At 37.7% G+C, this 16,438-nt stretch overlaps 1 protein-coding gene across 32 annotated transcripts in view, besides 2 other annotated features; it reads right to left on the bottom strand.

Moving 5' to 3' along the window:
* ADAM22 (ADAM metallopeptidase domain 22) overlaps positions 1-16,438 on the bottom strand; it is a 268,639-nt gene that overhangs the window by 121,790 nt on the left and 130,411 nt on the right. For all 32 annotated transcript variants that reach the window (XM_017012330.3, NM_001391975.1, XM_017012335.3 and 29 more), the window contains one exon: positions 5,408-5,474. In XM_017012330.3, the coding sequence (XP_016867819.1) occupies positions 5,408-5,474 (67 nt within the window). The remainder of the gene's footprint in view (positions 1-5,407; positions 5,475-16,438) is intronic.
* Positions 8,207-8,306: an enhancer, noted in NCBI's record as "active region_26239". NCBI's record gives its function as "activates an Ori minimal core promoter by ATAC-STARR-seq in GM12878 lymphoblastoid cells {active_cell/tissue: GM12878}" and the evidence as "EXISTENCE:reporter gene assay evidence [ECO:0000049][PMID:35858748]".
* Positions 8,317-8,466: an enhancer, noted in NCBI's record as "active region_26238". NCBI's record gives its function as "activates an Ori minimal core promoter by ATAC-STARR-seq in GM12878 lymphoblastoid cells {active_cell/tissue: GM12878}" and the evidence as "EXISTENCE:reporter gene assay evidence [ECO:0000049][PMID:35858748]".

The raw sequence follows: 16,438 nt of genomic DNA, 5'->3' as shown, positions 1-16,438 counted from the left end.
GTATTTTATTGAGGATTTTTGCATCAATGTTCGTCAAGGTTATTGATCTAAAATTCTCTTTTTTTGTGTGTCTCTGCCAGGCTTTGGTATCAGGATGATGCTGGCCTCATAAAATGAGTTAGGGAGGATTCCCTCTTTTTCTATTGATTGGAATAGTTTCAGAAGGAATGGTACCAGTTCCTCCTTGTACCTCTGGTAGAATTCAGCTGTGAATCCATCTGGTCCTGGACTTTTTTTGGTTGGTAAGCTATTAATTATTGCCTCAATTTCAATATTGGTCTATTCAGAGATTCAACTTCTTCCTGGTTTAGTCTTGGGAGAGTGTATGTGTCAAGGAATTTATCCATTTCTTCTAGATTTTCTAGTTTATTTGCATAGAGGTGTTTGTAGTATTCTCTGATGGTAGTTTGTATTTCTGTGGGATCGGTGGAGATATCACCTTTGTCATTTTTTATTGCGTCTATTTGATTCTTCTCTCTTTTCTTCTTTATTAGTCTTGCTAACGGTCTATCAATTTTGTTGATCTTTTAAAAAAAACCAGCTCCTGGATTCATTGATTTTTTGAAGGGCTTTTTGTGTCTCTATTTCCTTCAGTTCTGCTCTGATTTTAGTTATTTCTTGCCTTCTGCTAGCTTTTGAATGTGTTTACTCTTGCTTTTCTAGTTCTTCCAATTGTGATGTTAGGGTGTCAATTTTACACCTTTCCTGCTTTCTCTTGTGGACATTTAGTGCTATAAATTTCCCTCTACACACTGCTTTGAATGTGTCCCAGGGATTCTGGTATGTTGTATCTTTGTTCTCGTTGGTTTCAAAGAACCTCTTTATTTCTGCCTTCATTTCATTATGTACCCAGTAGTCATTCAGGAGCAGGTTGTTCAGTTTCCATGTAGTTGAGCGGTTTTGAGTGAGTTTCTTAATCCTGAGTTCTGGTTTGATTGCACTGTGGTCTGGGAGACAGTTTGTTATAATTTCTGTTCTTTCACATTTGCTGAGAGTGCTTTACTTCCAACTATGTGGTCAATTTTGGAATAGGTGTGCTGTGGTGCTGAAAAGAATGTATATTCTGTTGATTTGAGGTGGAGAGTTCTGTAGATGTCTATTAGGTCTGCTTGGTGCAGAGCTGAATTCAATTCCTGGATATCCTTCTTAACTTTCTGTGTCGTTGATCGGTCTGATGTTGACAGTGGGGTGTTAAAGTCTCCCATTATTATTGTGTGGGAGTCTAAGTCTCTTTGTAGGTCACTCAGGACTTGCTTTATGCATCTGGGTGCTCCTGTATTGAGTGCATATATATTTAGGATACTTAGTTCTTCTTGTTGAATTGATCCCTTTACCATTATGTAATAGCCTTCTTTGTCTCTTTTGATCTTTGTTGGTTTAAACTCTGTTTTATCCAAGAGTAGGATTGCAACCCCTGCCATTTTTTGTTTTCCATTTGCTTGGTAGATCTTCCTCCATCCCTTTACTTTGAGCCTATGTGTGTCTCTGCACATGAGATGGGTTTCCTGAATACAGCACACTGATAGGTCTTGACTCTTTATCCAATTTGCCAGTCTGTGCCTTTTAATTGGAGCATTTAGCCCATTTACATTTAAGGTTAGTATTGTTATGTGTGATTTTGATCCTGTCATTATGATGTTAGCTGGTTATTTTGCTCGTTAGTTGATGCAGTTTCTTCCTAGCCTCGATGGTCTTTACAATTTGGCATGTTTTTGCAGCGGCTGGTACCGGTTGTTCCTTTCCCTGTTTAGTGCTTCCTTCAGGAGCTCTTGTAGGGCAGGCCTGGTGGTGACAAAATCTCTCAGCAGTTGCTTGTCTATAAAGTATTTTATTTCTCCCTCACTTATGAAGCTTAGTTTGGCTGGTTATGAAATTCTGGGTTGAAAATTCTTATTTTTAAGAATGTTGAATATTGGCCCCCACTCTCTTCTGGCTTGTAGAGTTTCTGCCAAGAGATCAGCTGTTAGTCTGATGGGCTTCCCTTTGTGGGTAACCCGACCTTTCTCTCTGGCTGCCCTTAACATTTTTTCCTTCATTTCAACTTTGGTAAATCTGACAATTATGTGTCTTGGAGTTGCTCTTCTCGAGCAGTATCTTTGTGGCATTCTCTGTATTTCCTGAATTTGAATGTTGGCCTGCCTTGCTAGATTGGGAAGTTCTCCTGGATAATATCCTGCAGAGTGTTTTGCAACTTGGTTCCATTCTCCCCGTCACTTTCAGGTACACCAATTAGACGTAGATTTGGTCTTTTCACATAGTCTCATATTTCTTGGAGGCTTTGCTCATTTCTTTTTATTCTTTTTTCTCTGAACTTCTCTTCACGCTTCATTTCATTCATTTCATCTTCCATCACTGATACCCTTTCTTCCAGTTGATCACATCGGTTACTGAGGCTTGTGCATTCGTCATGCAGTTCTCGTGCCATGGTTTTCAGCTCCATCAGGTCCTTTAAGGACTTCTCTGCATTGGTTATTCTAGTTATCCATTCGTCTAATTTTTTTTCAAAGTTTTTAACTTCTTTGCCATTGGTTCAAACTTCCTCCTTTAGCTCGGAGTAGTTTGATCTCCTGAAGCCTTCTTCTCTCAACTCGTCAAAGTCATTCTCCGTCCAGCTTTGTTCCGTTGCTGGCGAGGAGCTGCGCTCCTTTGGAGGAAGAGAGGCACTCTGATTTTTAGAGTTTCTGGTTTTTCTGCTCTGTTTTTTCCCCATCTTTGTGGTTTTATCTATCTTTGGTCTTTGATGATGGTGATGTACAGATGGGTTTTTGGTGTGGGTGTCCTTTCTGTTAGTTTTCCTTCTAATAGTCAGGACCCTCAGCTGCAGGTCTGTTGGAGTTTACTGGAGGTCCACTCCAGACCCTGTTTGCCTGGGTATCAGCAGTGGTGGCTGCAGAAAAGTGGATATTGGGGAATTGCAAATGCTGCTGCCTGATCGTTCCTCTGGAAGTTTTGTCTCAGAGGAGTACCCAGCTGTGTGAGGTGTCAGTCCATCAGTCTGACCCTACTGGGGGGTGCCTCCCAGTTAGGCTACTCGGGGGTCACAGACCCACTTGAGGAGGCATTCTGCCCGTTCTCAGATCTTAAGCTGCGTGCTAGGAGAACCACTACTGTCTTCAAAGCTGACAGACAGGGACATTTAAGTCTGCAGAGGTTATTGCTGTCTTTTGTTTGTCTGTGCCCTGCCCCCAGAGGTGGAGCCTACAGAGGCAGGCAGGCCTCCTTGAGCTGTGGTGGGCTCCACCCAGTTCGAGCTTCTGGGCTGCTTTGTTTACCTACTGAAGCCTGGGCAATGGTGAGCGCCCCTCCCCCAGCCTAGCTGCCACCTTGCAGTTTGATCTCAGACTGCTGTGCTAGCAATCAGCGAGACTCCGTGGGTGTAGGACCCTCTGAGCCAGGTGTGGGATATAATCTCCTGGTGTGCCGTTTGTTAAGCCCGTTGGAAAAGCGCAGTATTAGGGTGGGAGTGACCCGATTTTCCAGGTGTCGTCTGTCACCCCTTTCTTTGACTAGGAAAGGGAATTCCCTGACCCCTTGCACTTCCCAGGTGAGGCGATGCCTCGCACTGCTTTGGCTCACGCACGGTACACTGCACCCATTGTCCTGCACCCACTGTCCAGCACTCCCCAGTGAGATGAACCCGGTACCTCAGTTGGAAATGCAGAAATCACCCGTCTTCTGCATCGCTCACGCTGGGAGCTGTAGACTGGAGCTGTTCTATTCAGCCATCTTGGCTCCCGACCCTCATTATAGCATTCTTTTCACTTCAAAGTCTGTTTAAACTTTTCCATAATGAAAAGTTTTCTTTTAGTTTACATATATATGTAATGGAAAAACTCAATTATCTTCAGAATGTCATTTGAATAGGACAATATAATTTATTTTGGTTACTGATAACAGTTTAAATAAAAAGCTTTACTATGTAATAAATGTACATAAAAAACTGAACAAAGGCTTTATGGGAAAATAACTTGGCAAATGTTTACAAAATGATACAGAAGCAAGCAGATACAATATTGTAGCTACATATGATACTATATAAATATCTATGTATATATACAAATGTGTGCATATGACAAAAAACACTCAAATAACAAAATGAAAACATTTATCTCTCAGTGATGAGTTTAAGGATAAAGTTTTCCTTTTTTGTTCAACTTTTCTCTGTTTACAAGTTTTCTAAAATGAGCATTTATCTAATTTGTAATTAGAAAAAGGAAATGAATATGAACGAGTGGGATTATAATTCAGATAAAGTAGAATAGATAGTCTGAACACTATTCAGAAGAAAATAAACACTTGGCCAAAAGTCACTATACTAAACACTGAGCAGAAGGAAGCCCTACACTTGGGTGGCTTTTGTTTTCATATGCTCTCAGATTATACCATCTGCAGATCTGGGGGAAAACCGCCACATTCTTATGCCTCTAGCTGGTGGAGGCTTTTATTTTTGTGTTAATATTTTCACAGTTTACCTGTCATAACCAGTATCCTGAGATTTCTGTCTCCAGGTATTTTTAACTCCTTGATCTCCTGTAGATCTAACAATTTTACATTTTACTGGTGGAGGTGTGGGGTGGGGCAGGGTGGAGGGGCGGCAGGGCTGGGAATCTTACACAGCTGAATGCAAAGGCAAACACCTACCCTGGACCCAAGTTTTCACCTCTTGGTTCTCAGGGGTAACATTAAAGGCAAATTTCAAAAACTACTTTCAGTGACATAATCTAAGAAAGAACTAAAGGTTGGTGTAAAAGTCACTGGGGTTTCCCAGGCGCGTTGGCTCATGCCTGTAATCCCAGCACTTTGGGAGGCCGGAGCGGGTGGATCACCTGAGGTCTGAAGTTCGAGACCAGCCTGGCCAACATGGTGAAACCCCCTGTCCACTAAAAATACAAAAATTAGCCAGGTGTGGTGGCAGGCGCCTGTAATCCCAGCTACTCGGGAGACTGAGGCAGGAGAATCACTTGAACCCAGGAGGCAGAGCTTGCAGTGAGCCGAGATCGCGCTGTTGCAGTGAGCTGAGATCGCGCCATTGCACTCCAGCTGGGCGACAAGAGCGAGACTTTGTCTCAAAAAAATAAAATAAAATAAAATAAAATAATTGGGGTTTTTGCCATTAAAAGTAACGACAAAAACCACAAGGACTTTTGCACCAACCTAGTACTTGCAGCTATAGCAATCCTACAAAACATTAAGTCTAGCAATTCCTACAGTACCCTAAAAATTCTTTTTCTGATAACTAAAAGTAAAGTTTCATTTTTCCAAAGTGGGTGATAAAACTTCAAATTATAAAGTATTTTTAAAACCCTCAAAACTGTACATTAGAAATATCATTGAAAATTAAAATAATAATCAGTAGTATTAAAAGATTCTCAACAAATTTCCCCACAAGTAGGAAAATTTCACTTACTTTAACTTCCACAGTCTTGCCTCCATGTTCAATGTGTCTCTCTATGTATTCAGAGGACAGCAAATCACTGCAACAACAAAAATAAATGATGACTAAAGAGGATCCCAAAAATGTAAAACACGAAAATCAGGATCTAGTTTACACATATCTGCTTTAACAATTCTTTAAGCCCCCCAAATCAACACTTTATAGGTCTCTCTCTCTCTCTCACACTCACACACACACACAGACACACACACACCCAGTATTTCTAAAAGGACATGAGGTTGAACTGCCTACACCACCTGTCACTCCATTGCTGAGCACAGCTGATTCTGCTGAACCAGCCAATAATTCCAGGAAACTACCGTAAGCACATCATTATTTTAAAGACATATTGTCCTTAATTTTTTACTTTAACTTTTTATCAAACAGTTTTAATTGTATATTATGCCTTACCATTTCTTTAATGTGTTATATGTGATATTTTCATCTGACAAAATGTTAGTTTTCATCACAAAATAAAAAAAGGCAAAGAAAGTTAAAAGAAATGAAATGGAATATATACCATCAACATTTGAAAATTATTCTTTTTTGAAATCAATCCTAAACAACATTTACATGTTTCTATAATCTTAAATATGCTTCTCTTTAATTTCATATATATGAAAAACTTTCCCTTTTAATGGAGGGGTCTCAAGACACAACTTCCGTAAAATATTTTTAATCTTTTAAAGCACTAAAATATAAATAAAACTATCATTAATAAATTTTAAAAAATGCATCAAGCTATAAATTTCTAGTGTTGCTCTATTAATAGACATTGAGCCAACTAAAAACTCCTTAAGTGAACTGAAGGTCATCAAACTAAAACTGTTCCAATCATCTAAAAATGTGCATTTTTGAGCACAGAGGTTCATCATGATAAGCACCATGCCTACAATTGCTTGAAATGTAAACAGAACGATCAAACAAGCATTACATTAATGCAGGCACCATAATCCTGTATTATCTGACACTTATATTACTATTTAGAAAACTTGTAATTATAGTCTAAGTCAATGCTTCATTTATCTTGAGAATAGATGTTCTTACTGACTTTATGTTAGAATCAGCTAGCACGCTCTCAGCTGCAAGCTGTAGAAAACACAACAAAAAGTATATTAAACAATCAGGACATTTATCATCTTATTTCTTCTTTGAAATTCCAGGTCTAGCATAATATAAATTTGCTTTTGAGGATATTCAGTTCTACTTGATAAATAAATTTGATGTTTATAAAATATAGGCAAACCCTTTTAAGATATTTTCAGTATATATTTTGCTAGTAAGACATGAACAGAATTCACAGATGTATAAAGTATAAAAAGAAGATTGTATATGTGTTACACACTGACAGAAAGGGCTGCAAGATCAAGAAATGTCAATTACTCTTGAAGCATATGAGTAATAAATGTTCATGATATATTAAATATATAAGAGGCACTAAATATCCAGGATACACTAAATATACATATGTACTTAATATTCATGAGGGGGTTTTTCAGCTTCGACACAATTGATACTTTGGGCCAGATAATTCTTTGTCTTGGGAGGCTGTCTTGTTCACTGTAGCACACTTAGCATCCCTAGATTCTACCTAATAGATGCCAGTAGCATCTCTTACATACACCAGTCATGACAATCAAAAATGTCTCCAGACATTGCTAAATGTACACTGGGGTACAAAATTACCCTGATTAACAACTGCTGATACTCTTTCCTGCTCCATTTGTTATCTGTCCAATAAACATAACAGAACTCATGACTGTTTGTGAGGCTAACTGGCAAGCCACAGCCACTGACTAGGCATACTTGTCCCAGTATCTCTCAGACACTTGAGCAGGTGTTATTAGCTTGGGACGACTGCTATCTTTGGGGCTTGCCCAAACCTCAACTCTGGTCCTTGTAACCACACCATCAGTGGGGAAGGCATATGCAGATGTATGAACATGAACACTATGTATCCCAGGATTAGCTGGCATGGCCCCTCTACCCTACTTGCCCCTAACCCAGGTATACCAACCTAATAATCTTTCCTCTTGCCTCTCACTGTGCACTTTAAATTAATTTAGTGAATTACGTGATTTGAGGATTGGAATTTAGTCTGTGGGAGCTTTTGGTTCCCTCACCTCTAGGATAGCTCACCTAAGCATACTTGGAGGCTACCATTGCATCAAAGTAATCTTCCCATCTGACATCAGGGCAGTTCCAGGGTTGGCTCACGTGGTGGCTCAGTGCCATTAATGAGATGAGGGGTGTTTACAACTTTCTGCTCTGCCCTCAGCATGGTAGCCGGGGCTCTCTTAACTGGCTCCTCTCATGACCCTGATATGATGGCTGCAATTCTCACCATCTTATAGAAAATACATTATTCCAAGATTAAAAAAAGAAAAAAAGCCTTGTATTTATTTTTAAAAGTGAACAAGCCCTTTCAAAAATAGCTCTTAGCATTCATCTTCTCAAGTATCTTCTGCCAGAATTACATTATATGGCCACTCCTAAACCAATCCTTTGACAAGAACATTTGTCTTTGAACAATCAAGATTCTCCTGCCAGGCCTTCCTTGACCATCATGATTCTTTACAGAGAACTGAACAATATTGTTGGAAAGGAGAGTGGTGAAGAAAGTACCTGTTGTACATCCAATTGAAAATTGTCTCTTTTTTTGTCTTCATCATGAGTATATTATATATTTCACAAATTTCCAAGGGCTTATAACAAAAACGTAAAATTATATGGAAAGACCTGCCTCAGGCAAAACTGGTAATTGCTCCAGCATCCACATCACACCCTGTTTACCCAAAACAGGAGAGATACTAGCCAGGTGTTTGCAAAGGACTGTCCTCCAACCTTGCTATCAGTCTTAAAAACTTCCCCAGATGTAGGAGAGAAACATCATCATACAGAGGCATGTTTATCAGCAGAGCCAGCCAGGTTCCCTCTCCTGGGAATCTGAACTTGTAAATTCAGAAAAAAATCATTCAGCTGATGAAGGAAAGAGAAACAGAAAGTCAAAAGTAAGTTGACACTTAAAAGAAACTGAGCTGTACGGTGGTGAATACCAGAGTGAAAGCCCCACATCTCCACTGCTGAAGTCCCTGAATGCAGAACACCCTATCCCTGTGCTAGACATCTTTGGGACCCTTGCTCTCTCACTGTCACATGAGTCAAACCCCACTACTGCAGCCAGCATGAGTGAAATCAAAATCACCTAAGTCAAATACTCCTCAGAGGAATACTAGCTGTGGTGTAGGAATAGTAGTAGTAATAATAATAATAATAAAATCTAAAAACTACTTTTGAGTCCTCCAGGCTTTCAAATTTCAAGGGAACATTTCCCTTTGAATTATAAAATCTAGGCATTAAGAGAATATGAGTCACTGCACGAATGTAATTACAGCAAAGAAAAGCCCTCTGCTCAGGAATTATGCAGCTATTTCAATCAAGCCTCTATATACAAGTATTGCTGGAAAGCGCTCCATGTAATTTTAAACCAAAAACAGCTCATGCAATTTGGTTTTGTTTGTTTGCATATTGTGAAAGTCTGCAAAGTATTGTTATTTTAATGATTAGGGTGAGAATCCTTAAATTTAAACTTTCACTTTTCCCTCTACTAAACCATAAAATCTTTACTATCATCAAGTTAGAACCTAAGTTAATTTTCTTGAAGCTTCCTGAAGTAGAGATAATCAAATTATCTTGTTATTTTCTTTAGAACATCATTGTTCATCATTATATAGGGATCTACTTAAATCATTTTAAGTGTAGGAAAATGGAAGACCTCCTTAACATAAAGGAAATTTTATATTAATGTAAATGGGTCAGGTAGAATTCACTCCATACTAATAGCTTAATAATGATGTGTGAATGCTTGTTTGTGAACTTTGAAATATAAAAGTAAAAATCATTTTCAACCAATTTCTAAAGGCCACTCATTCTCTAAAGGAAGTAAGATGTTTATAAAATTAGAAATGTTTTCTGAGACCTTTTTTCATTTGCATGTCATAACAAGCCTAAAAAAGCAAAACAAATATAATGTAAACATTTTCAGTCATAATAATGATTATCCTTTGTGTAGTGGGCAACTGTCATGAATCAGAGACAGCTCGTACAGTATTATACAAAGGTTTGGGAGTTAAAAACAAAAACAAATATTTTAATTTTCCATCCAAGCTCTGCCATTTACTAATTGTGTACCCTTGGCCAAGCTGCTTAATCTTGATCAACATAATTTGCTTCTGTTTAAAATGGAGACACTAAAAAAAAAAAAAAAAAAAAAATCACTTCATAAAGCTGGTATGGTATTAAACCAGAACATAGATGAAATGCATCCCATATCCTGATTTCAATCATTCACATACCCTATTCACCATCTCATATCTATTCATCTTTCTCTAGAACTCTATCTCACTGTTTTGGAACTTAAAACCATTGAGCCTATCTACCACTTTTTCACTCTCCTCACCTTCTTGTCTACTTAATCCAGTTTATCTTCCATGATCTGTCCTGATAAATCACCTCCCTTCACACACTCTAAACTAATTTACCCCTCTTTCCACTGTACTTGCTTGACCAAACCTCAATCACAGTAAAACTCCTTCTACTAATCAAAGTCTGACTCCAAGAAATAGAACATCTTGAATGGTCATAGGCTGGTGTAGGATCACAGTTGTCAAATGGTCCCTCATCACAACACTGCCCTTAAGTCCACTACGCTTTTCCAGTCAATTTACTCTGAGAAGATCCTTCTAAATCTCTCTCCTCACATCTCTACTGTGCTCCCTCATTATCACTCCCTTCAGATAATCTCACTTCTGTATTCACTGGAAAAATGAAAACAAGACTACCTCATCTTTCCAATCTACCAGCACCCCTGTTTCTGAACCAGTCTCTACTAGGATGTCAAATAGGCATCTCAAATTCAACATGTCTAATGCATAACTCTCTCAGTCAAATCCGAACATTCAATTCTACCTTCAAAATGTATCCTAGTAACAACTTGACAGTGAAAAAAAAACTGGAGACATCACCTTAACCAAGTGATCACAGTTAACATAACCAATAATAGAAAAAAACAAAATCATGTGCTTCTGAAGTGATGCTTGCATAAGAAGCAAACAAATGAACAAAGCAACTTGAATGTGCAATAGATTTTCAAAGAAACAGCCTCAGAGCAAAGATCTAATCCAAGGTGCTGCCAGTAAGATGTAATCTCAAGGTCAAGAGTAAGTCAAGGGTGTAGTTTTAAAACGCTTTGTTATAACTCAGACAGACTAAAGGCTGTTTCGCCTTTACCAAATCATCTATGTAAAAGAGTTCCGAAAACTATTAAGGGCCTCAGCTAGACAAAAGAGTTTCTAAGTATCTTGTAGGTTCTCATAGACATTCTCACCTAAACAAAAAGGCTAGTATGGATCTTCAGTGCATTGTCCCATAGCATCTTAACTCACAGTAGAGAGGGACCTATCTCAAAAAGATCTGTGGATGTGGATTTGTCTAATGGGGTAAATGCCAATGAGATTCACATGAAACCTGTGAAGTTCTTAAGAGAATTATATCACTGGAACCACACCAGCTTGGACCAAAATGGACAGTCAGTTCAAACTCTTTATAGTGAGGAAACAGACCAGAAAGATAGCTAGCTTAAAGCCCGGCACATTTCTTTTAAAAAAAAAATAAATGTTGACTCAGAGGATGAACCCAAGAACCACAAAAGGACTGCTCCCAGGAAGCAAAGCAGAGCCTTAATCAACATATATTCCCTTCTGCCAAAGCAGGAGAAACCAGTGACATACCTGATTCAGTATCAGAAATTCAATGGACCAGTGACTGCCGAGTAGCTATTTCCCACTTTTTGAACAGGAGTATCTACTGCAGTCATCCTGCCCCTATCCACCCTGTATTTCAGGTTATCTTTTTGGTTCAAGGGTCTACACCTGGGCTACCTCATCTAAGCAGCCTTATCTACACCTGGACCTAATTCAGATGATGAGAACCTGAACCTTGCATTTGAGCCTGATACTATAATGGAATAAGATTTTTCAGGGGTCTCTGGAGGAATTCAATGCATTCTGCATATGTGATAAATACAAATAATTTGTGGCCAAAGGACAAACTGTGGTTGATTAAAGAAGGCAATAAATTGTAACTCTTCTAATGGCGAAGTGGAAATCATTTCTTCTCCCCTTGAATCTGAGCTGGCCCTGTGAAAAATATGAGACAGAAGTGATATTGTGTGTCTTAGTCTGTTTTGTGCTGCTGTAACAGAATATCACAGACTAGGTAATGTAGAATGAACAGAAATATGTTGGCTCACAGTTCCAGAGGCTGGGAAGTCCAATATCAAGGTGCCAGCAACTTGTGAGGGCCTTTTTGCTGTGTCATCATATGGTAGAAGGAGAGAAGGAGAGAAGGAAAGCAGAAGGAGAGAGGGAGAGAGAAGGAAAGGGAGAGAAGGAGAAACATAGGGAGGAAGGAGACAGGGAGAAGAGAGGGAAAGAGGTAGGGAGAGGGAGGAAGAGGGAGGGAAGGTAAGGGAAGACAAGAGAGGGTGAGAGCGAGCCAGAGAGAGAGGGGGAGAGCACACACAGAAGCAAGAGGGAATCCAACTTGCCCTTTAATAAGGCACCAATCCCAGGCCTGTGAGTGCAGCCAGCCCTCATGGCCTAATGACCCTTAAAAGGTCCCACCTCTTCATACTGTTACAATGGCAATTAAATTTCAACATGATATTTAGAGGTGACAAACATTCAAACTACAGCTCTGCGTAACATCTGAGATCTGCAGATTCCATTTTCATGCATGTAGAATTCTCCTTTGAATCCAGCCACCATGCTGTCAGGAAGCCCAAGCAATCACATAAAAAGACCATGTGGAGGAGAATCATGTCCCTAGCTGACAGACCCAGTGAATTCCAAGCCAACACTGACACCAATTTCCAAACACGTGATTGAGGCAAGTTTGCATCTTCCAGATATAATAGCATCCCAGCTGACACTACATAAAGCATATCTGCCCAGTTGACCTACAGAATTGTGCAAAACAATATACACTGTAAAGATTATAATATACTGTAACAAGCTATGCCTTCTTGTTCTAACATTCAGTGATTGTTATGCTGCCCCAAATTACTATGTTTTCCTTAGAGCAGTCACCAAATATTAAATGTAACTTTCTTTGGACCAATATAAAAGAATCATAAGACTTCAAATATGATTATAATCCAACCAGTGAAAATAAAAGAAGCCCACAGATCATAGTTCACAATCGAAAATCAAAGATTTCATAAGGTCTTTAAACTATGAAAACCTCTCCAGAAGAAGAGAACTGGAAAAAATGGAAGCTTTAAGGATCCAAATTTCATTATTTCATTTAAGAGGAATAACAAATTATGAGCTTGGAAAGGTTTTTTAAAGAAAACATTCTTCCCATTCTCTCCATTCTCTGAATCCCTCCCCAACACCTCCATTTCATCATCTTTATTTTCTTAGTTTCTCTAGCCATGCACCAACCCTCCAGATCCTTTTGATATACTAGAGAATCCTCACTATAGAAAATGAATAAATATCACTGAGAATTAACCATCCATTCCTCAGCTTTTTTTAAAGTGCCAAAACTGTTATCTATACCCTCAGCATGTAATGAGTGGTATTTAAAATGTTTATGTTGTTTAAACTAAATTAAAAGGAAACTACAAAAGGGAATTAAAAGTTTATTAAATATCTGATTTTTGGATGAAAGTTTCACTTAATTACTTTTCCAGTTTGTAAATATAATTTCTCTCTTGCTTATGCACATAAAAGAAATTTTCTGTGTACCCCTGTGTCTAAAGGTGAGGCTATTTTTGTTACTTCTATTGAGGAAGTCACAATCTGATGAAAATTATCAGGGAGCTTTAAATGTGTATGCTAGGACTAGGGCACTTACAATAAATGTGATCAAGTAAAAGCTGAGCCTGCCACTATCATGAATGTTAGCTCTTATTTATAGAATCCTGTTCCTAATAAAGCAAAGTTTTCCAAGCCGGCTTTGCAGCAGAATCAGATTTTTTAAAAAAATGCCTAGACACCGTCAGGCCTACCAAATCAGAATCTTCTACGTTTATTCTGCTATAAAGAAAAGTTACCAAGACATGAAAGTTTAATCAAATTAACAGTCTACAAATATGCTAGTAAAATTCTATTAACATATAATGGCCTGTTGGCATATCTGATCATTGTGGCTCAATACCACTTTAAAAGCCAAGGTACTCGGGGACTGTTGTGGGGTGGGGGGAGGAGGGAGGGTTAGCATTAGGAGATATACCTAATGCTGAATGACGAGTTAATGGGTGCAGCACACCAGCATGGCACATGTATACATATGTAACTAACCTGCACATTGTGCACATGTACCCTAAAACTTAAAGTATAATTTAAAAAAAAAAAAAAGCCAAGGTACCAGGGAACACACTACACCAAGGCAATTCAAATGAGTCCCTGGTGAATCTTATTGCAAATAATCAACAGAGGGAGACATGTTCCTCCCCATTACAGTCAAGTAAAGGACTAATGTTTTGTAGTTTTTTAAGGGTAAAATTGCCAGACTTACTTCAAAATTTACTTAGACTTCTTATGAGTACCCTAGAAATGGAGATTTTGGGCACTTAATGTTGAATTATTGGGCATTTTTATAATATTAATCACTTGAAAATCAGATCCCATCTAATCTGGTTTTCACCACACCGCTTCACCAAAACTGTATTTTCATGGTCACTATTTAGCTACCTCTATATCGTTAAATCTAACAGTTAATTCTTAGTCTTAATCTTACTTGATGTATAAGCAGCATTTGACATAGCTGATCACCCCTCCTCTTGGAAATATTTCCTTCAATTTCCTACCAGGAACCACACAGTCCTGGTTTTTCTCCTTTCTCTTGCTGCTGCTTCTGTCTCCTTTGTAGGTTTCTTCTCATCGCTACAGTTCCTAAACATTGGAGTACCCCCAGGGATCAGTACTTGATCCTCCTCTTTTCTTTTGACACTCTCTTCCTCGGTGATTTCATCTAATGTTTTCTCTTAATTAATTATACAGGATATAATTGTACTCAATTATATGCTGATGTTTCTCCAGCTTAGAATTCTCCTCTAAACACCAGAATCATATATCCAACTATATACTCAACATCTCTTACTTATTAAATAAGCATCACACTTAACATGTCCAAACTTGGGCTCCTGATCTTGCTTGACAAACATGATTCTCCTATAATCTTCCAAGCTTCTTAAATGGCTACTTCAATTTTCCAGTTACCCTGGCCAAAAATCATAGAGTGATCATTGACTCTTTAATCTCTCTTACAAATCATATATGGAACTGATAAGAAAATTCTGTCAATAGTGTTTTCAAAAAAAATTTCCAGAATATGAACATTTCCATTGCCACCACCCTGGTCTGAGCCACCATGCTATCTTGCCTGGAGTACTGCAAGGCTTAAGATCTACTCTGTTAACCTGTCAACATTTCGCTTATCATCCACATGAAGAATATAACAATTCCATCATTAGTGAGAAGACAGAGTAGCAGACATTATTATCCACTGTTAATGACAGTCAAATACTGTCCTCTTCTGATAAAGCAATTTTTCAAAACAGTAAAAGTCTTAAACTTCTAATATTCTTTGTACCTAAGAATCTAATGAAGAAAAATAACTCTAAATATAGGAGACATTTTATGGAATTAAAAAGATAATATCAGAAAACCTAGTGTTGACAAGGCTGTGAGCATAGAGTTTTGTAGAATTTTCATGGAGGGAAATTTGACAATACATATTAAGTGTATACCTTTTGAACCTGCAATTCTGTTTCTAAGAATTTAAGGAATAATTTTGAATAATTTTAAAATAGATGTGTAGCTGTAAAGATCTTCCATACACTATCATTGTGAAACACTGAAAAATTTTAAAGCAATTTAAAAAATAAGATCCCAAAATTTACAATTAAACACTCTGCTGACACTAACATGCCATAGAAGATATCAAAAGGTGGTCATACCATCTACAAGAAAAGTTCTACATTTTGCAAAAGAAATAAAAAATATATATTGTCAAGAAAAAAGACAACAGGCATACATTATGAAGACGCTAGCAGTGCTTATCTCTAGCTAGTTAGATTACTATTACATTAATTTTACTGATCTTATTTTGGCACCTTAAAATGTCTATAATAAACATGTATTATATTTCTAATAATAAAATTAAATTTTGAAATGTATTTTAGAAAAGCATCACCCAATGTTATTCACAAAGCAAACCAAATATATAAAAATAGATACTTGGTTAAACGAAATATTTTCCATACATTTAGTGGAAAATAATGAAGTCAACAAAAACTCTTCAATTAGAGTTTGCATTAACAGGTAATATGGTTCTTTTATGTTAAAAAACAAAAGCAGAACACAAAATTATATAGAGAGAATGTAACAATTATATAAATAAAACAATGCACGGGAAAAAATACACCTACATGTTTAAAAATTTCACCTTTGAGTGGTGGCACTATAGGTCATTAAAAATGTTTTGTTTTGGGTTTATTATTTTAAACAGTTTCTTCTGGGTACTTATCACAAAATTTCTCAAGAAAAGTATTAAACATCTTAATTATTTTTCAATTTTAAAAATAACAGCAATAATAGAAATAATAGTTAACAATTTTGAGCACCTACTACTATTACCACTGCTACCACTACTACTACTATTACTATGATTACTAGTACTATTTCTACTGATCTAATGGTTTTGCATGTATTAGCTCATCTGATCCACATAACAACATGCTAAGTAGGTGCTGTGGTTTGAATGGATGCATCCTTCCAAAGTTTTTACATTGGAACTTAACCCTCAAGGGGATGATATTAAGAGGTGAGGCCTTTGGGAGGTTATTGGGTCATGAAAGCTCTGCCCTCATAGAACAGATTAGTGCCTTTATAAAATCTTTAGAAAGTTAGTCCCCTTTGCCCTTCTATCCTGTCT

Source organism: Homo sapiens, chromosome 7 (genome assembly GCF_000001405.40).
Source record: "Homo sapiens chromosome 7, GRCh38.p14 Primary Assembly".
NCBI lineage: Eukaryota > Metazoa > Chordata > Mammalia > Primates > Hominidae > Homo > Homo sapiens.
This window is presented reverse-complemented; position numbering and strand designations above follow the sequence as displayed.